Source organism: Homo sapiens, chromosome 3 (genome assembly GCF_000001405.40).
Source record: "Homo sapiens chromosome 3, GRCh38.p14 Primary Assembly".
NCBI lineage: Eukaryota > Metazoa > Chordata > Mammalia > Primates > Hominidae > Homo > Homo sapiens.
The window spans coordinates 125,667,421-125,689,802 of NC_000003.12; the positions used below are offsets into that span (position 1 = coordinate 125,667,421).

General features: G+C 44.8%; 3 pseudogenes, besides 1 other annotated feature; 2 read left to right on the forward strand and 1 right to left on the reverse strand.

Moving 5' to 3' along the window:
* Positions 3,764-4,438: an enhancer, noted in NCBI's record as "H3K27ac-H3K4me1 hESC enhancer chr3:125390028-125390702 (GRCh37/hg19 assembly coordinates)". NCBI's record gives its function as "activates a minimal SCP1, AML or CMV promoter by ChIP-STARR-seq in primed H9 embryonic stem cells {active_cell/tissue: H9 hESC(primed)}" and the evidence as "EXISTENCE:reporter gene assay evidence [ECO:0000049][PMID:30033119]".
* On the forward strand, positions 12,153-12,361 carry YTHDF3P1 (YTHDF3 pseudogene 1; annotated as a pseudogene).
* Positions 13,167-13,681, reverse strand: LOC100419966 (uncharacterized; annotated as a pseudogene).
* On the forward strand, positions 13,305-14,710 carry MYLKP2 (MYLK pseudogene 2; annotated as a pseudogene).

Here is a 22,382-nt window from a genome sequence, read left to right on the forward strand (position 1 = left end):
TTTAGTTTTTAGGGCTGGACATTCTTATGTTCCTATAAGGGCTCAATGGGCTCAGAATTGTCCCTTCTTAGATTCTACAAATCTGTGTTTGGAACCTGTTGAATCAAAACATAGGTTCTATTCAGTAATATAAGACATCATATCACAAAACTCTTAAACAGATAACTTCTACTTTTTAGGGATGGATATTCATATATTCCCATAAGGGCTCAAAGGGCTCAGAAATGGCATTTCTTAGATTCTACAAGATGTGGGTTTAGAACCTGTTGAATCTAAACACAGGTTCCACTCAGAGATAAGAAACAGTGCATCACAAAGGATATTCACACAGAACTTGCTTGTAGTTCTTACAGCTTGATATTCGTATTTTCCTATATTGGCCTAATAACCTCTGAAATGTCATTACTTGCATTGTACAAAACAGAAGTTTGGATCTTTTGTAATGAAAACACATGTTCCATTCAGTGATGTAAAGCAGCACATCACAAAGGTTTTTCACAGATTGCTTGTTTTTAGTTTTGAGGGCTAAATATGTGTATGTTCCAATGAGGGCTCAATGGGCTCAGAAATGTCACTTCTTAGATTCCACAGAATGTGTGTTAAAAACCCGTTGAATCAAAACAGAGTTTCCAATCAGTGATAGGAAACAGCACATTGCAAAGCATGTTTGCACAGAGCTTGTTCGTAATTTTTAAGGCTGGATATTCGTATTTTCTATACAGGCCTAAAAACCTCTGAAATGTCATTTTCTGGATTCTAGAAAACATGTGTTTGGATCCTTTGTAACGAAAACACAGGCTGCATCCAGTGATATACAACAGCACATCACAAAGTTCTTTCACAGAGAAATTCTTTTTGCTTTTTAGGGCTGGATATTTGTAAGCTTCTACAAGGGCTCAATGGGCTCAGAAATGTCCCTTCTTAGATTCTACAAAAAGTGTTTCTGGAACCTGTTGAATGAAACACATGTTCCATTCAGTGATATAAAACATAACATCAGGAAGCTCTTTCACAGATAACTTCTTTTTAATATTTAGTGCTGGATATTTGTATGTTCTATAAGGGCTCAGAAATTTCATATATTCTACAGAACGTGTGTTTAGAACCTGTTGAATCAAAACATAGGCTCCACTCAGTGATAGAAAACAGCACATCACAAACCATATTTGCACAGAGCTTGTTTGGAGTACTTACGAGTGGATAAGCATATATTCACATATAGGTCTAAAACGCTCTGAAATGTCATTTCTTGGATTCTACAAAACAAGCCTTTGGATCTTTGGAACAAAAACACAAGATCCATTTGGTGATATAAAAAAGCACATCACAAGGGTTTTCACAGATGGCTTGTTTTTAGTTTTTAGGGCTGGACATTTGTATATTCCTTTAAGAGCTCAATGGGCTCAGGAATGTCTCTTCACAGATAACACAAAAACTGTGTTTCAAACATGTTGATCAAAACACCTTTTCAATTCAGTGATATAAAACAGCACATCACAAGGTTCTTTCACAGATAGCTTCCTTTTACTTTTTAGAGCTTGATATTCTATGTTCCTGTAAGTGCTCAATGGGCTCAGAAATGTCACTTCTTAGATTTCAGAAAAAGCGTTTTTGGAACCTGTTCAATCAAAACACATGTTCCATTCAGTGATATAAAACAGCATCACAAAGCTTTTTCACAGATAGCTTCTTTTTACTTTTTAGGGCTGGATATTTGTATGCCCCTATAATGGTGTAATGAGCTCAGAAATGTCATTTCTTAGATTCTATAGAACGTGTGTTTAGAACCTGTTGAAACAAAACACTGCTTCCACTCAGTGATTGGAAAGAGCACATCACAAAGCATACACTCACAGAGATTGTTTATAGTTCTTAGGCCTGGATATTAGTATTTTCTTTTTCTTTTTTTTTTTTTGAGGTGGAGTCTTGCTCTGTCACCCAGGCTGGAGTGCAATGGCACTATCTCGGCTCACTGCAAGCTCCGCCTCCTGGCTTCATGCCATTCTCCTGATCAGCCTCCTGAGTAGCTGGGACTACAGGCACCTGCCACCACGCCCAGCTAATTTTTTGTATTTTTAGTAAAGATGGGGTTTCACCGTATTAGGCAGGATGGTCTAGATCTCCTGACCTTGTGATCCGCCCTCCTCAGCCTCCCAAAGTGCTGGGATTACAGGCGTGAGCCACTGTGCCAGGCCCTAGCTTGGATATTAGTATTTTCTTAAATAGGCCTAGAATTCTCTGAAACGTCATTTTTCAGTTTCTACAAAACATGACTTTGGATTCTTTGTAATGAAAACACAAGTTCCATTCAGTGATATGAAACACCACATCACAAAGTTTTCTTAAAGATTTCCTGTTTTTAATTTTGATGGCTAGATATTTGTATGTTCCTATATTGGCTCGATGGGCTCAGAAATGTCCTTTCTTAGATTCTATGAAAAGTGTGTTTGGAACCTTTTGAATCAAAATACAGGGCTATTTAGTGATATAAAACAGCATATTTCACAGCTGTTTCACAGAAACAGGGAAACAGGGAAATAGGGAAAGGATTCCCTGTTCAATAAATTGGGAAAGGACCTCCTATTCAATAAATTGTGCCAGGGTAGTGGCTTGCGGTACACAGAGGATTGAAATTGCACCCCTTCCTTACACCATGCACAAAAATCAACTCAAGATGGATTAAATACCTAAATGCAAAACCTAACACTAAAAAAACACTGGTAGATAACCCAGGAAATACCATTTTGGACATAGAAACTGGCAAAGATCTCATCATGAAAATGCCAAAAGCAATTGCAACAAAGGCAAAAATTGACAAATGGGACCTAATTAAAGAGATTCTGCACAGCAAAAGAAACTATAATTTTTCAATGGTCTAATACCCAGAATTTACAAGGAACTTAAACAAATGGACAAGAAGAAAACAAACAAACAAAATACAAATGTTCCTAAATACAAAAATAAAGACAAACAAAACAATCTATAGACTCAGTGAAGATTTTGAAATGTTTTGTTTATTATATGGTGAGGTTTTTCAGATCTTTTAGCCAAATCATGTGCCCTCATGTCTCCTACTCTTTTTGTTTCTGGCATAAAACTTTTTGATTTGAGCCAGAACAGTGAAGATGACAACACACATCAATCTGATGATAATTGGAGGTGAGGGAAGTTCACAGTCCATCATGAAAAACTCTTTTAGATAAGAAGGGAAGACCATATACATAGTTATGTAAAAAAAATCCTTCATGAGGATTCATATACGCAAAAGGGTAAGGGGAAAGCTTTACTTTGTACAAATGTAGATAGATTAAGTAACAATACACTAATACTTTGTAAAAGTGTGCTATTTACAAACAATGTTAGTGAACACAGTCTGCTAAGGTTTCATTATCATATATTGTTATGCACAGCTAAATCCTTCAACTATGTGAATGTTAGGACTTTTCACAAAAGCCTGCCTAATTCAAAGGAGCCTTTTCAAGTCCATTTACAACAAATTTAAAATCATATTTTCCCTGAACAAGTGCTTACCTGATATGACTCTGTTTTCCTTGTTTTTTTTTTAAATGAAGAAATATTCTGTTTTGCAAATTGGACCCCAGGCTGAAAATTGGCACCTTAAATGTCTGCATTTGGGCTTTGGGGAAAGTGCCACTCAGATAGGTATCTCAGGACATGAGCGACCAGTGTGAGGGAGGGTGAGATTTGTCAGATGCCAAAATCAGGGGATGAGTGGTGGTGTCTGTCAGACACAAACATGTTGCCAGAATCTTATCACCATCAGTCACATGATTTCACACATTTATGTGGGAACCATGCCTTTTTTTTTTTGAGAGGAAGTCTCGTTCTGTCACCCAGGCTGGAGTGCAGTGGTGCAATCTCCGCTCACTGCAGCCTCTGCCTCCCGGGTTCAAGCAATTCTCCTGCCTCAGCCTCCTGAGTAGCTGAGACTACAGGCGTGCACCACTACATCTGGTTAATTTTTGTATTTTTAGTAGAGATGGGGTTTCACCATGTTGGCCAGGATGGTCTTGATCTCCTGACCTCATGATCTGTCTGCCTTGGCCTCCCAAAGTGCTGGTGAGAGGTGACAGCATGCTGGCAGCCCTTGCTGGCTCTTGGCACCTCCTCGGCCTCGCTGGCGCCCACTCTGGCCGCACTCGAGGAGCCCCTTGGCCCGCCACTGCACTGTGGGCGCCCCTCTCTGGGCTGGCCGAGGCCAGAGCCAGCTCCCTCTGCTTGTGGGTAGGTGCGGAGGGAGAGGCGCAGGCCGGAACCAGGGCTGCGCATGGCGCTCCCGGGCCAGCGCGAGTTCTGAGTGGGCGTGGGCTGGGCCAGCCCGCACTTGGAGCGGCTGGCTGGCACCGCCGGCCCCAGGCAGTGACGGGCTTAGCACCCGGGCCAGCAGCTGCAGAGGGTGCATGGGGTCCCCCAGCAGTGCTGGCCTGCTGGCTCTGCGCTGGAATTCTTGCCGGGCTCAGCTGCCTCCCCGCGGGGCAGGGCTCAGGACCTGCAGCCCGCCATGCCTGAGCCTCCCCACCACCGTGGGCTCCTGCATGGCCCCGGCTTCCCCACTGCCGTGGGCTCCTGCATGGCCCAAGCCTCCCCACTGCCATGGGCTCCTGCATGGCCCGAGCCTCCCCAATGGGCGCCACCCCCTGCTCTGCGGCGCTGGGTCCCATCGACTGCCAGGCTGAGGAGTGCCGGCACACAGTGTGGGACTGGTGGGTAGCTCTGCCTACCGCCGCTGTGGGGGATCCACTAGGTGAAGCCAGCTGGCCTCCTGAGTCTAGTGGGGACTTGGAAAACCTTTAAGTCTAGCTAACGGATTGTAGAGACACCAATCAGCACTCTCTTGTCTAGCTCAAGGTTTGTGAATGCACCAATCAGCACTCTGTATCTAGCTAATCTGGTGGTGACTTAGAAAACCTTTATGTCTAGCTAAAGGATTGTAAATACACCAATCAGCACTCTGTGTCTAGCTCAAGGTTTGTAAATACACCAATCAGTGCTCTGTGTCTAGCTAATCTAGCAGGGACTTGGAGAACTTTGTGTCTAGCTCAGGGATTGTAAACACACCAATCAGCACCCTGTCAAAATGGACCAATCAGCTCTCTGTAAAACAGACCAATCAGCTCTCTGAAAAATGGGCCAATCAGCAGGATGTGGGTGGGGTCAGATAAGGCAATAAAAGCAGGCTGCCCGAGCCAGCAGCAGCAACCAAGTGGGGGTCCCTTTCTGCGGTGTGGTAAGTTTGTTTTTTCGCTCTTTGCAAGGACTCTTGCTGCTGCTTACTGTTTGGGTCCGCACTGCCTTTATGAGCTGTAACAGTAATCACAAAGGTCTGCAGCTTCACTCCTGAGCCAGTGAGACCAGCAACCCATCACAAGGAAGAAACTCCAAACATGTCCAAATATCAGAAGGAACAAACTCCTGACACACTGCTTTTAAGAACTGTAACACTCACCGCCAGGGTCTGAGGCTTCATTCTTGAAGTCAGTGAGACCAAGAACCCACCAATTCTGGACACACTGGGTTTACAGATGTGAGCCTCGGCGCTTGGCCACCATGCCTTTTTTAGGGTGGCCTATTTTATATGTGTACACACTTCTCCGTTTTGAAATGAGACGTTCTTACACCCAAACAGATCCTGAAATAAAGCTTCAGGTTTTCTCAGATGATGTATGTGTTTTCAGTGTGATCAATAACTGATCATTTCTTCTCTTTTTTCCTTTACCTAATTTAAATATGATTTGTCTGCTGGGACTCTGGATACATTGTGAAAAGTTTTCGATTATTTTCAGCCCCGGCAATCGGTTTTATTCTCTGTGTTTAGTTCACAAAACAGAGTCTCAGAAGGGCAATGTCTGTAATTTGCCACTGGGTGACTGTGCCTAGCACAAAACCTAGCGTGTGGGAAGCTGCATAAATGCCATTTAGACACATAAATAAAAACCGTTTACCTATGACACATTTTATTCTTTCTAGGTATAAAAGGCGGGAAACTGGTAATTTGAAATCAAAACAGTACTTTTTAGTTTGAAATCTGTGTGATGACCACCAACATGTTAGCATATATCCAATCAATATTTCATTTTGAGTTTTCCATTAATGTGAGAACTCCATGGGAATTAGCATTTATTAGTAGTTCTAAATCTTCTACAATATAAGGGGAGTGGAAATTTTAACGAGCCAATGCTGTGGCATTTACTTGGGAATAAACTCTCTCTTCCCTCCTTGTGTCTCCTGTGTCCTGCCCCCTGCTGAATTCAGCTGCAGCATAGACCTCCTATCTTCCAGACCACCAAAGCTTACACAGTCCCAGAGAAGAGACAGGTGTGGGGAGTCATAACTCACAAAGGCTCCCTTGGACTCTAGACCACTAAGAAGGTTAGAATTTCAGGAGTAGCCGTGGAAGATGATGAGGGCTTAGAGTCTCAAGAACTACAAATAAATACCTAAAAATAAAATTTGTCAGTCCAGACTTGGAGAGGTCTAGTATGTGGCTATGAGAAAGATGAAAAGCAACATAGAGACTGGGTAAAAGTGGAAAGGCCCTCCATCACACCATTTGTTGGCGTCATAAAGTATACTGTGTTTCCACCCACCACAATGGAAACCAGGAGGTAACTGATGTCAGTTGTCCCTTCCTAGGAGGCAATGAAAAGTTCAGTGAATTAGTTTATCAGAGGAAGACTTTTCATGTTGCCATAAGTATTATCATTCTAGTCTGAATAGACACATATGGGCCAGTGTAACTTAAGTGCATACAGAATATGAGCTACTCAGAGGACTTTCAGATGCAGAGGTATAGCAGTGGTTCTCAGCCCTGGTTAAGATCACCCGGGAGCTTTTTACTAGGCACGAGTGTTGCAGTCACCCTATATATTCCAACATAATTGTTCTGGGATAGAGACCTGGCATTGGTCTCATGAAGATGTGTATGTGTATGTATACACAATATACCTGTATATGTATTCATATATATGCAATACATATGTATATGTAATTATATATATGTACAGTACATAGGTGTATGTGTTCATATTTTTATAAAACATATTATTATCTCATTTCTTTATATGGTTGTAGCTCTTTCTGTCTTACTAGTATATGTATACATAAATACGTGTATAAAGAGACAACGATGACTACTTATTTGGATGATGACTCCAAACCATTTGTGCTTAGATTTTTAATGAGAATTGTTGTTTTAACATTCTACATAAATTTGGTATTTGATAACTTAGCTACTAGATTGCTTAGGTTACAAGGTACAATTTACAAAGACTTTCTTCATCTCAGTTTCCATAATGGTAAACAGCAATTTTAAAACTCTCTCAGAAGTATAGCTATTTTGTCTATAATCTAATGACATGTGTGTTTGCTATGCTATCCAGATTATTAGCTAAATACTCTTTATTTGGACTTTTGGCATAAAGTCAGACACAAAAATATGTGAAAAATTTTAAATCCACATGATACCAGTGACTTAATTACTAACTTTAAGTAGACAAAATTGGCAAAAACATTTACAACTCATAATAGGAGCATCACAACCCCTTATAAGATGCCTTTTAACATACCAACAAGTTTATATTCATAATCTCACTTATTCCTAATTAAATCTTTTGAGGTCTGCCTTATTTTGATTTTACTATTGCAGCAACTCAGGCTATGAGAAGCTGTTGGTGACCTGGAGTAACAGGCTGGCAGAGTCAGGACTGGAGTTGAGGGTCTGCTCCAAGCTCAGTACTGGCTCCTTGCATCACCTGTAGCTGCTGTCAGTGTCAGGGTCTCAATCGTGTCTCTTTTTTTTTTTTTTTTTTTTTTTTTTTTGAGACAGAGTCTCGCTCTGTCGCCCAGGCTGGAGTGCAGTGGCACGATCTCGATCTCGGCTCACTACAAGCTCCGCCTCCCGGGTTCACGCCCTTCTCCTGCCGCAGCCTCCTGAGTAGCTGGGACTACAGGCGCCCACCACCACACCCGGCTAATTTTTTGTATTTTTAGTAGAGACTGGGTTTCACCGTGTTAGCCAGAATGGTCTCGATCTCCTGACCTCATGATCCGCCCGCCTCGGCCTCCCAAAGTGCTGGGATTACAGGCATGAGCCACCGCTCCCGGCCTGTCATGTCTCTAACCGTAGAAGCTCAAGCAAGGCTGTGGCCTCTGCCTCTGGCTGTGCTCTAAAGAACTGTTTCTTTCTGTTTGTTGTAAGCCATGAACCAAGTTGTTGTGAACATAAAAACCAAATGTGGAGGCCTTTCTCCTCTGCAAGGAAATAGTACACCTGATATTACTTAAACAAGCAAGTGATAAGGCTTACCTGACATGCTGAAAAATGACATGTTGGGGATTTTACTACAAGAAACAAAATACATAATTGGCAGAAATGTGGCATTTGCTAAAAAAAATGGCTTGAATTCTTTCCATCTGCTACACTGATTTTCTTCACACATCACCAAAATCATAAAGCAAATCCAGCTCTGAGCAGTTGAAATATAGAAACAAGGGTGACAAGAGAGCAGGCCGAAGGAGCTCAGTGACTCAGAGATTAGCCACTGCCATCTCACTGCTGGGACCCTCGGCATCATGGAATGTGGCATGATGGCCATCCTGTGGCAGTTTCTAAGCCACCCAAAGAGGTAATGCCGCCTGTCAACATTCAGAGCATTACCTCAAGGAGGCTGCACCATGGCTGAGCCTAAAATAAAACACTGCTGTTTGCGACCCTCTGTTGTTGCTTGCTGGGAGACTCAGAGTAAATTTGCATCCAAAGCCTGCAACAAGCTTGTTTCCTTAATATAATATATACCACATGTTTTCATATCATAATTTTAGTCTTTATCATAAAATAATTTTTAAAAAATATTCTATCTTCAAAGAAAATTGTAAAGGACCTGTGGGGGAACCTAAAATTTGGGACTTTGAATGTCATTAGAACTTAGACAGATGTACCCTTTGAGCAGATTATGCAATGATAACTTACATTTAATTATTTTATGACTGCTTCTATTTGAACAAACATATATCATTTTCTGCTCATGTTTTGAATTTTTAATGCAAAGAACCTGATCTAAAGCATTGTGAGTTTTCTTTTCTTTTCTTTTTTTTTTGAGACAGAGTTTCACTCTGTTGCCCAGGCTAGAGTGCAGTGGCATGATCTCAGCTCACTGCAACCTCTGCCTCTACAGTTCAAGCGATTCTCCTGCCTCAGCCTCCTGAGTAGCTGGGATTACAGGTGTATGCTACCAAGCCTGGCTACTTTTTGTATTTTTAGTAGAGATGGGGTTTCACCATGTTGGCCAGGTTGGTCTCGAACTCCTGGCCTCAAGTCATTCACCTGCCTTGGCCTCCCAAAGTGCTGGGATTACAGGCGTGAGCCACCACACCTGGCCGTGAGTTTTCAATTACTTGCTTAACATCTATAAATGTTGTTGGTTTACAAAATAGATAACTGATGGGAAATACATAACCTTATAGGAAAGTAATTTGGGGGCAGTGTTAATTATAGATGCGTTGGATAAGAAGATCTGTTAGGTAGTAAAGCCCTTTAAAAAGGATAAATTGGTTAAAAGTCCCTATCATGGGTTTTTGGGGACTCTTCAGTACTCCTCTGTGGATTCACTCTGGGGCCCACTAGCATTTATAATGCTGGTAGCAGGGAATAAAGCTCAGGATATCCACTGTCTTCAAACTCTGTAGAGTCTTCAAGATTGTGTATCTATCTGTGAGTCACAAAGTGTTTGATAAGCTGAGTGTGCAGGACTGATTAGAAGAGGGACTCTTTGTATTGAGGGTGTTCACAGTATCATATTTCTTAGTAGAAATAGAATCTGAGAAGTCGTTGAGTTCGGGAAAACATGTATGAATCAATAAAACCATGAGGATAAACAGGCACAACAAGAAGGTAGAAACTGTTGAATGTTTATATTTTTGTAGTCACAGAAATGAAATGAGCCAAAAACATAGAATTTAAACAAATAGAGTTGACATCTCAGTAACAGAAAAAGTGCATGCACCATTTCTGGTTGTACTGAAAATAAGATGCCTGTTTTAATGCTAATGTAATTATAATGAAAATAAAACATGCAAATGAAGGCAAGAGTACTTGGAGTAACTGGAAAGAGGAATCAGTTTGCTCTATTTGGTAGAAAGGCTAGAAAGAGAGTGAGAAGGATTTATCCACAGAAGAAAGATGAGGTTGGCTGGGCGCGGTGGCTCACGCCTGTAATCTCAGCACTTTGGGAGGCCCAGGCAGGCTGATCACAAGGTCAGGAGTTTGAGACCAGCCTGGCCAGCATGGTGAAACCCCATCTCTACTAAAAATACAAAAAATTAGCTGGGCATGGTGGCGCATGCCTGTAATCCCAGCTAATTTCAGAATCGAAGGGCCAGGCATCCAGGCCAGGGTGGCAGGGCACCCACACACACACAGGTGGCCTATGCAACGCGGCCCCCAGCGGGTGTCACCCTCCTCCCTCGTCGGTTGCCTTCACCCACACCGGGGCATAGGGAATGGCGGGAGGCTGAGGCAGGAGAATTGCTTGAACCCGGGAGGTAGAGGTTGCCTTATATCAAATGGTGTAGTATTTGATATAACCTATGCACATCATCCTGTAACTTTAAATCATCTGTAGATTGCCAACAATACATAATACTATGTAAATGGTAAGTTACAGTTATATTGTATTGTTTAGGAAATAATAACAATAGAAAGTCTTTACATGTTCAGCACAGTTACAACCATCCTTTTTTCCCAAATAGTTTCAACCCAAGGTTAGTTGAATCTATGGATACAGAAACCATGGATGTGGAGGGCCAACTGTGTATACACATATACATACACATATACACATCCCACATTGCATGTCTGTATCAAAACATCTCATGTCCCCCATAAATTTATATACCTACTGTGTACCCACAAAACTTAAAAATAAAAAATTTTAAAAATAAAAAAAGAGAATTAAAAAAAAAGATACATTTGAAACAGTTCATTGAGGTCAAGGGCATTTTTTTTTTCTTGAGCTGGAGTCTCACTGTTGTTGTCCAGGCTGGAGTGCAATGGTGCGATCTCGGCTCATTGCAACCTCCGTCTCCCAGGTTCAAGGGATTCTCCTGCCCCAGCGTCCTGAGTAGCTGGGATTACCGGTGCCAGCCACCACGCCCAGCTAATTTTTTTGTAATTTTAGTAGAGACGGGGTTTTGTCATGTTCTCCAGGCTGGTCTCGAACTGCTGACCTCAGGTGATCCACCCACCTCGGCCTTCCGAAGTGTGGAATTACAGGCATGTGCCTCTGTGCCAGGTCAAGGGCATTTTTAAAGAGCTATTAAACTCTACTGCTGATTACTTGCTTCTTCCCTCAATACCATTAATAACCTCATAATTCAACATAGCTCTAGATGACCGCCTGCAGCTCATTATAAACCCATTAAAGAAAACCCATTCCATGGCAGAGCTTGCCTTTCAATGAGAACTGGCCCTTTTATATAAATACTCTATCTTCTGTATACTTTTTGGTAAAGTTTCAGAGGACTCTTTCTGTGAAAAGCTATCTCCACTAAATTTTTCCTAAATGTAATAATTATCGGTGAACATTGAAATAGCCACCACATCTGCTTCAATTGGTGTCATAAATGTATTTAATATGGTTGCTGCTTTGGCTTCCATTTTCAGGCCTGGCATAAGTTGTTTGAAATCCAGTGTGCCTCATCTCCTTTTGCCTAGTTACAACTTTGTCCACCTCTGTGGTTGTTTGCCATATACCCTGTTTGGTCTTCATCCCACTGACCCTAAACCCGACACTCTCCACAACTGCTGACCATGATAAAACCTAATGGTCAAGACCAGGGTCGTGGAAATAAGTTTATCTTCACATGTGTTTTCTGTAAGCCAGCCAATCTCCAACACCTTGCAGGAAAGCCCAAGGGATAATGCCCATGGACCTTGTTAAAGGATAGTCCTGAAGGTCCTTTCTCTCTTTCCCCACCTGCTGGTGGAGCTCTCTGTTACTTCTAGACTTCCCTCCTTTTGGCTTCTCAGTGAGCAGCAGTGACAGCAGGAACAATCCCTCGGCAAGGGCCACCTGTTGTGCACCCATGGGGAGACACTTGGGGAGAAGGTGGTGGCTCTCGGGTTGCAGTGAAGAATGTCAGCCACTAGCGTGGTTTAGAGACCTAACAAGCAGAGAAATAAAGTTTCAGTACAGAATGGTTGGATTCATCAAAAAGATGCTGTAAATGATGATTTGGAGCCACACAAGTAGCCAGACAAATCAGAGTGACAGCCCTCCATCCATGGTCAGAGCCATGCATGCCTGTCACTATGCCCCATCCTCTGAATTTCCATATTCCCCTGGTCCATGGGCCACAGGTTTACACTCGGGTATCAGGTAAATACCCAGGTCCCCAGTTGACACCAGGATCCAGGTGGACACCCAGGCTCCAGGTGAACATCAGGCCCCAGGTAGATGCTGGACTCCAGTAGACATCAGGCCCCAAGTAAACACCCATGATTCAGGGGAACAAAAGGCCCCAGGTGAACACCAGACTCTGGGTGGATATCAGACCCCAGGTGGAAACCAGGCCCTAGGTGGACACCTAAGTTCCGGGTTACATCAGGCCCCAAGTGAACACCAGGCCCTAGGTGGACATCAGGCTGTAGCTGGACACAAGGACCCAGGTGAACTTCAAGTCCCAGAAGAATATCAGGCCCCAGGTGGATGCCTAGGCCCCAGGTGTACGTCCGGCCCTAGATGGGCCCCAGGCCTCAGGTAGATACCTAGGCACCTGGTGAACATCAGGCCCCAGGTTGATACCCAGCCCCAGAAGGAAGCCCAGGCCCCAGCCACACATCAGGTTCCACATGGACACCCAGGCCCCAGGTGAATATCAGGACTCAGGTGAACACCAAGCCCCAGGTAGACATCAGGCACCAAGTGGACATTTGGCGCCAGGTGGACATCCCAAGAGGCACCTCAAGCCCCAGGATGATGCCCAGGCCCCGGGTACACACCAGACCCAAGAGAACTCCAGTCCCCATCTGAACATCTGGTCCTAGGTAGATATCGGGCCCCAGGTCAATACTAATTCCTAAGTGGATACCTACGCCCAAGTTTGACATCAGGCCCAAGGTGGATACCCTGTCACCAGGGGCCATCAGGCTCAAGGCAGATGCCAGGACTCTGGTGGACAATAGGCCCCAGGTGAACATCAGGCTTCAGGTGAACACCAGCCCCAGGCTGACACCATGAACTAGGTGGTCAACATTAGACCTCAAGCAGACAACCATGCCCCAGGTAAATACCCAGCCTCAATTTGACATAGGCCCAAGGAGGACACTGGACTGTAGGTGAACATCAAGCCCTCGGTTGACACTCATGCTCCAGGTAGACACAAGGCCCCATGTTCATACCTAGTCTGCAGATGTATGTCAGACCCCAGGTGGACACCAGGCCCAAGGTGTATACCAGTCCTGAGGTGGACATAAGGTCCCAGGTAGACATCAAGCTCCAGATTGACATCTGACACAAGGTGGACATCAGGCCCCAGATGGATACCCAGTCCCGAGGTGGACATCAGGGCCCGGGGTGATAAAAGGACGTCAGACCTGAAGTGGACACCTAGGCCCCAGGTCAATACCCAGGTCCCAAGTGGACACCAGGCACTAGATGGACATCGTGCCCAAGGTAGGCATCAGGCCCCAAGTGGATATCAAACCTAGCCCAGCTGGAGATGTGCATGACACATTGTTAGCCCTCAATGGATCTGAGCAAGCATGACAAGTCTCAGCGTCATGACAGCAGCAGCCCTGCTGAGGACAGGGCTCCCATCCCTACTGCCAGTGCTGCCTGGCCTGAGCCTCCCTGTGCTTCCTCCACAGGGCAGCCCATCCAGTATGCTCGCTCCACCTGCGAGGCCGGCGTGGCTGAGCTCCACATCCAGGATGCCCTGCCGGAGGACCATGGCACCTACACCTGCCTGGCTGAGAATGCCTTGGGGCAGGTGTCCTGTAGCGCCCGGGTCACCGTCCGTGGTAGGAGCCTCTGGTCACCCGAGTAGAAGCACCTTTCCTGCAGACACTTCTGCTTTGGAAGAAGGGCACATTTGTAGAAAATGGTATCATGAGCTAAAATCCAGGGAGCAGAGGTGCACATGGCACTACTCCACACCACTGGCAGCGGCAGGTGCCGTGACAGAGGAGTGGCTGCTGCAACCTCTTAGGGACAGAGGAGAGGGTCCTTAAAAAGTGCTGCACCTGCAGGTAGGAAGTGAGGGAGATGACCTCCAGGAGTTCACAGCGACAAGGGTGTCATCAGAGGTGGCCTTTTCCTCACCCCCTCTCTCCACTGGGGCCATGGAAAGGTATGGGGGAAAGAGATAGGGCTCCCTTAGCTCCAGAAGCTCCAGGTCTGGTCAGAAGAAAACCTCGCACACTACAAAAGGACTTGGGAGAGCACTCACGTATTCCCTGAGCAGTCAGTGGCCTCCCAGTGACCCCTTACATGCTGGGGGACCCTGGGTCACAGAGTGCACACTGAGGCTTCCAGAGGGTCACAGGTTGTCCCCTTTCTGCCCCCTTTCTACTCACGGGCCCAGGCTTGTTTTTACACATCAGCAGCCTGGTCTCCAGTAATCTGATTATCATGGTCATCCATTCATCAGCCAAGCACTTAGTCCCTGGGAATTGCAGGGAGCCACAGACTCAAGACAGATCTGTCTGGGCTGTGGTATCAGCAGGCCTGGTGACAGTTCCCACGGAAGTGCTTCTTGGGTCCAGGGCTTTCAGGTAAGCCTGATCCCACCATCACCCTGAGCCTACGCCCCCGGCTCCTGTGCATGACTGGGTCCTCTGGTGCTAGCACTGAGTGCAGCGTGACTGGTCTCCCATCAGACAAGCAGGAGGATACATCTCTCCATTCCCTGGGGCTCAGGCCTGTCAGGAACATCTCCGTGTTGTATGAGTAGCCACTGTCTGGGAGGCTGCAGGAGGAAGTTTCGCAGAAAAGGAAAGGGGAAGAAACATTTGTGGCTTACTGTGTTAAATACTTTCACCTCACCCGTATTCTCTCACTGAGACCTCAGTAGCCTAGGGGACAAGGATGCTGTCCTGATTTCAGATGGAAGGCTCTGGAAGTCTCAGGAAGTGAATGTAACTTGCCTAAGCACATCACACTAGTCTGCAAATCTGGACCCTGGAGCCCACAGCCTGTGACTTTCAAGTCTGCACTCATTCCTATGCCCTGACCTTTTTCAGAGGGCACGTCCCCTGGCCCAAAGGGGAAGACTGGCCACTGTGGGCTGGGCAGTGTCAGTCCCTTAGGGATGAAGGAACTGGCACTGATGGAGAATGTGGCCGAGCCTGGCTCCGTGAAGCTCTCTGCCAGGAGTGAGCATGCTCTCTGGGTGCTCTAACTGAAGAGATGCCTCAGCATAGAGTCGTTATTGGGAAACTGGTCCACCTCTTCCTTCCAGGAAACCTATCACACTGGGCTCAGAGCCCAACTCTGGCCTCTGGGAATTTGCAGCCAGATTCTGGTTTACAAACTTACTCATTTATCCTCATAGTTCTAACTTCATGACTCCCTGGGAGCCAGGTGGGGAGCTCAGGAAATTGTGATAATGAGATTTCAGAGGAAACCTGAACTGCTGAGAACCTTGTCTCTGAGGGTCAGGGAGCAGGACTCACCTTCCACCTGGGGGCTCTTCTTGGAGGCCAGCATGGCCAACCCGAGTCGAGTAAGGGGCAGCAAGAGTCAGAATGCTACACGTAGAGCCACATGGCTCAGCCCTCTGTTTTCTGAGACTCTCCCTCCACAGCCACAGCCAAGGGCTAATCCAATGTCTGTCCTGGCTTGCCTGTGTTTAGATTGGATTAGAGTGACCCAGCTGAGCTAAGAGTCCCCTGGAGGTGGGAGTCCCAGGCGAAAGATCAAGAACTCTTTAGGGCCATTCTCCTGACTCCTGGGCCTGTGGGGGCTGGGGCCTGAAGGATCACCACCCATCCACAAAAAAAAAAAAAAAAAAAAAAAGGCACAGAGAGGTCCCAGGCAAAAACTCTGCCAAGTAAGTTTGGATTTGTTCTGAGAAGAGGCCTGCATGAGAGAACCCCCTCCCAGTGTGGGGGATGTACTGGGCTATAAAGACCAGACAGGCTCAGATACCATAAATGGTGAACAAGGCTGAGAACGCAGCTGCACTCTCAGGCCCGGCAGCATTTGGGCTCTCTTGGCACAGGATTGGAGCAGGGTGAGCCTGGCAGAGTGACACCCCCTGGCATGGTGCCCTGAGACACTCGGGAGGCTCGGGGCTGCTCCCTGCACTGTCCTCCACTGTGGAGTTTTTCTGACTTGATTGGCAGCCCCGTTGGCTCTGGGTCCTTGGGGGACAGCCTGGGCTGGGAGAGATGATCACAGTGGAGGTGTTTGTTCCCTACTGCACTGATGGCTGCTTCACCCCTCCCTTAGCTGTCCAGGTCCAGCCCTCTCTTGCCCTTAGTGTGGCACCAGGCCATGGTGGGGAGCATGGATGTGGAGCCAGCGGCCTGGGTGTGAGTCCTGCTCTGCCACTTACTAGCCCTGCACCCTGGCATTTTAGCATTCCAGACCTCAGCTTCCTCTTGTGTGAAATGGAGATGCTGACAGTCACGGTACTGTGAGGATTAAGTGAATGAATGTGCAAAGTATCCCCAGAGCATAGGATAGCACATACCCTCCATAGGTATGTGCTGTGATTATGATTGTCCAGCAGAGCCCACCTTTAAACAAGATACAATCCTTACAAATGCCAAGACTGAGGAGGGGTTTTCCCAAAGGATCCACTTTGCTACAGTATTGTGTGTTTGTTTGGCCATCAGAAAATCAGAGGAGGGAGATGTCCAGCCAGACACAAGCGATGAACACACGCGCCTGCTTCCAAGGGCTCTGGCCACAAAGTGGCGCCATGGAGCAACGCGTGTCCCTCCAGTTGTCTTCTCTCAGGGGTGGTTGAGGGGCAGCTCTGCTGCAAGCAAGCTTATTCTGAGAGCTCAGCAGATACTGTGCCAAAGGCCAGATGCAGGGGCTCTTTCTCACCTCTCGCCTTTTGCCGATATTTTGCGATCATCGAGATTGCTGGTGCAGCCCTCAAATGCGATTTCTGCAGCCAGCCCTTCATGCTTTCTCTGCCTCCCCTCCTTAGTGACTCTCTTCTTCTCCAAATCCTGGAAACTCCCACAAATATCACTTTCTCTGGGAAGCCTACCCTAATCACCCCAGAATGCGTTCCCTGAACACCGTGTGCTTCTAGTATTACACTTACTTATCAACAAGTCTTTACTGCGCGCCTATACTGATCAGTGCCAGGCATTGTTCTGGGGAAATTGCAGTAGACAGGACAGCTGAGGGCCCTGCCTGCAGGGTGCTTACATTCTGATGGGGATGCCAGCAGCAATCAGCACCTGGCCTCATTTCAAATGCTGGCACGTGCTGTTAAGAACATGAGCAGGTCACAAAGGAATAATTATAAAGAGAAAAAGCCAGTGAGTGGGGTGTGTGAATCGAGGAGGGTGAGAGGGTGTATCTTTAGTGCTGTGAGGAAGCCTCAGAGGTGTCCATGGCCTGGGGAAAGAGAGCTCCAGGCAGGCAGCACAGCAAGTGCAAGGCCCTGAGTCAGGAGCAAGGTTGACTCATTTGAGGAGCAGCAAGATGGCAGCCTCTGTGGCTGCAGCAAAGTAGACGGGGCAGTGTGATAGAAAGTGAGTTCAGAATGCGGGGGCTCACCATGCCAGGCCTCTGGAGGTGAGGAGAAAACAATTTACTCCGTGAAAATTCACTCTTTTTACTCTACTTGCTTAATTATCTTCCTCTCCAGACTGTAAGCTCCCTGCAGGGAGGGACCATATTGTACTGTGTGTAGAGCCAGGCCTGCCTTGGGAGCATGCATTCCCTGAATGGATGAGAGCACAGAGGTTGCCGAACCTCCCCTGCAGTGCAGGGAGGCATTCCTTAGAATTCCTCGCTTTTCTGGGGGCTCAGTGCCCATTAGGGTGTGCAGGAAATCTGCAAATTAACTTCAAGAGTCCCTCAACATGGCTGGGTGCAGTGGCTCATGCCTGTAATCCCAGCACTTTGGGAGGCCAAAGCGGGTGGGTCGCTTGAGTCCAGGAGTTCAAGACCACCCTGGGCAACATGGCGACACACTGTCTCGACAAAAAACACAAAAATTAGCCAGGTGTGGTGGCCCATTCCTCTAGTCCTAGCTACTCAGGAGGCTGAGGCAGGAGGATTGCTTGAGCCTGTGAGGTCGAGACTGCAGTTGCAGTGAGCTGTGATCACACCACTGGACTCCAGCCTGGATGACAGAGCAAGACGCTGTCTCAAAAAAAAAAAAAAAAAAAAAAAGAGTCCCTCAACAAATATTCCTTCTTTCCCCAACACAGGCTAGGGAAAAAAAATTCCCAGATAGTTAACCAAGCAATGAATGTCTTTCCTCCTGACCCAGGATGAGTCTAAAAGATGATTAATTCAAATTCCTGCAGAGCCCAGGAAGATCTGAAATACACTATATATTTCACGCTATTTGGACTGAGTCATTGCTGGGGGCTTCTTTGGGCTAGAATATTTTAAGTTTATTTCCCACTGGAGTATCTCTGTCAAGGCTAAAATTCTTAAGTGTCTAGATTTATTAATAGCCTGCCAGTTGTGCCCATTTGACATAGTTTCTCAGCCTAACAGTTTGTTTATTTAACTGAAACCCTGGTGGGCCTGTTAAAGGCATCAAAGGACATAAAATGTGGGTAAGTTAAAAAGATGAAAAGATGATCTCTAGAATAGATAATAAAATATAACAAGCATATTTATTAGAGTATTTGTTTTGATGCAGAGCTTCTAATGAAGACAACAGGCACCAGTGAAGTCAGCGTTTGCTTGGCGATGAGTAGAGGCACAGTTTGTTTTCAGATTAATACCAGGCACTCTGCGGGGCAGCCTGGAGCCACCTCCTTTGTCTTCCCATGTTATGCACAGGTACTTTGGACACTATACAATCTGTGCAGTTGACATAAGGTATGGACCCCAACCGACTTCCTTAAGATTAAAAACGCTGACAACTTCTTAAATACTTACATTGACTACAGAAAAATATTTTGAAGAAGAATAAATACCAGTTTTAACTTGCCTTTTTTATATATATTAAGAAGCTTAGTTTATTCAAAACATCTGTCCACAAGCCTTTAAACTCTAAGAAGGTGTACACAAATAGCGTGTACACCTACTGTGATATTAAAAGTTATATTTCCATAGGGTATTGCAAATAACATCACAGTGGGTATATACCCACTGTGATATTTGAAGTAATATCTCCCTAAGATATGACAAAAAATATCAAAGTGTGGACCCCGTCTGTGACATCAAAAGTAACATCTCTGTGGATATTCTGAATAATATCACAGGGTGTACACAGCCTGTGACATTAGGAGTAGCATCCCCATAAGATATTCTGAGTAATATCACAGGGTGTACACCCCATGTGACATTAAGGGTAACATCTTCTTAGGATGTTACGAATGACATCACAGGGTGTACGCCCCCTGTGACTTTTAAAGTAACATCCCCCTAGAATATTACGAATAATATCATGGGTGTACACCCCGAGTGACATTAGGAGTAACATCTCCCTAGGATATTATGAAGAATATCACTGGGTGTACACCCTCTGTCATATTGGGAGTAACATCCTTCTATGATATATGAATAATATCACAAGGTGTACACACGCTGTGATATTCAGAGAGATATCTCCCTAGGATATAAGGTATCATATCACAGAATGTACACGCATGGTGTACACCCACTGTGATATTAGAAGCAATATCTCCCTATGATAGTATGAGAAATATCAAAGGGAGTACACTCTCTGTGATATTAGATGTAATGTTTACTATGGATATTACAAATAATATCACAGGGTGTACACACATGAGGTACACGCACTGTGGTATTATTCATATTGTCTTAGAGAGACAAAACTCTCTAATATAACACAGAGAGCTATAACTCTGTAATATCTCTGAGATATTACAAATAATATCACAGTGAATGTACACCCACTGTAGATTTACAGTAATATCTCCCTATAAGACTACAAATAGTATCAAAGGGTGTACACCCCCTGTGACCTTAGGAGTAACATCCTTCTGGATATCAGGAATAATATCATAAGGCATACCCACTCTGTGACATTTTGTACACCCTTTGTGACATTAAAAGTCACATCCCCCTCGTATATTACGAATAATATCAATGGCAGTTGACGCACACGGTGTACACATCCTGTTACATTAGGCGTAATCTTTTTCTGTGATTTATGAATAATATCATAGAAGGTGTACACATATGGTGTACACTCCAGGTGACATTAGGAGCAACATTCCCCCAAGATATTAGAAATAATATTACCAGGGTTGCATACACATGGTGTACTGTCCCTGTGACATTAGCAGCAACATTCCCCTAGAATATTACGAATAACATCAGAGGGGGAGTACACATATAATGTACGCACCTTGTAAAATTAGGAGTAGCATCTCCCTACAATGTTATGAATAATATCACAGAATGTGTACACACATGGCGTATACCCCATGTGATGTTAAGAGTTACATCCTCCTAGTATGTTAGGAATAATACCACAAAGGTGTTCGCACATGGTTAACATCATATGGAATGTTAGGATTAACATCCCTCAAGAATATTACAAACAACATCACAGGGGCTGTGCACACATGGTGCACATGCCCTGTGGTGTTAAGAGTACATTTCCCTGACACATTACGAGTAATATCACAGAGTATACACCTTCTGTGACATTTGGAGTAACTCCCCTAGGATAGTATGAATAATACCACAGGGTGTACATCCCCTGTGACCTGAGGAGTAACATCTTTCTAGGATATTGTGAATAATATCACAAGATGCACAGCCCCTGTGACACGAGGAGTAACATCCACCTAGGATATTATGAATAATATCACAGGGAGTACACCCCGTGTGACAGTAGAAGTAACCTCAGCCAAGGATATAAGGAACAAATACAGAGGCTGCACAAGTGTTGTGACATTAGCAGTAACATCCATTTAGGATATTACGAATATTATCACAGTGTGAATACCCCCTGTGATATTAGGAGTAACATCTCCCTACAATATTGGGAGCCATGTCATACGGTGTACACCCCCCATGACATTAGAGGTAACATTACCTTAGGATATTATGAATAATATTACAAGGTGTACAGCCCCTGTGATATTAGGAGTAACATTTCCATAAAATATTAGGAATAATATCACTGTTTGTACACTACGGGTGACATTAGGAGTAGCGGACCCCAAAACTATTATGAATAACTTCACAGGGTGTACACCCTCTGTGACATTGTGAGTAACTCCTTCCTACGATATTACTAATAAGATCAAGGGGTGTACACACCCTATGACCTTAAGATAACATCCCGTTAGGATATTTGAAATAATATCCCAGGGTGTACACCCCATGTGACATTGCGAGTAACAGCTTCCTAGGATATTATGAATAAGATCCCAGGGTTGACACACCCTGTGATTTTAAAAGTAAAATCCCCCTAGAATAGTACTAATAATAACACAGGGTATACACCCCTGTGATGCTAGGAGTAACATCCTCTCAGGATATTTCAAATAATATCAGAAGGTGTACACACACGGTGACATTAGTAGTAATATCCCGCTAGTGTGAATACTATCACAGGGTATACGCACCTGTGACTTTAGGAGTAATATCCCCCTGAAATATTCTGAATAATATCACAGGGCATACACCTCCTGTGACTTTAGGAGTATCATCCTGCTAAAGTACTAAGAATAATGCCCCAGGGGGTTAGCCTGTGTAATATCACAGGGTGTACACCCCCTGTGACATTAGGAGTACATCTTTCTAGAACATCATGAGTAATATCACAATGTGTACACCATTTGTGACATTAAAAGTAAAATCCCGCTAAGATATTCTGAATAATGTCACAGGGAGTACACCCCATGTGACATAGGAGGAATAACCCATGAGGATATAAGAAAGAGGGTGTACACATATTGTGACATTAGTAGTAACATCCCGCTAGGATGTTACAAATAATATCACAAGGTGTACACACCGGGTGACATTAATTTATATCACATTCCCCTAGAATATGACCCATAACATTACAGGGTGTAGAACACCTGTGATTTATGAGTAACATTTCTATAGAATATTACAAGTAGTATCCTTCGGTGTGCACTCCGTGTGACATTAGGAGTAACATCCCACGAAACTGTGATGAATAATTTCAAAAGGTGCACACCCTCTGTGACATTAAAAGTAACATCT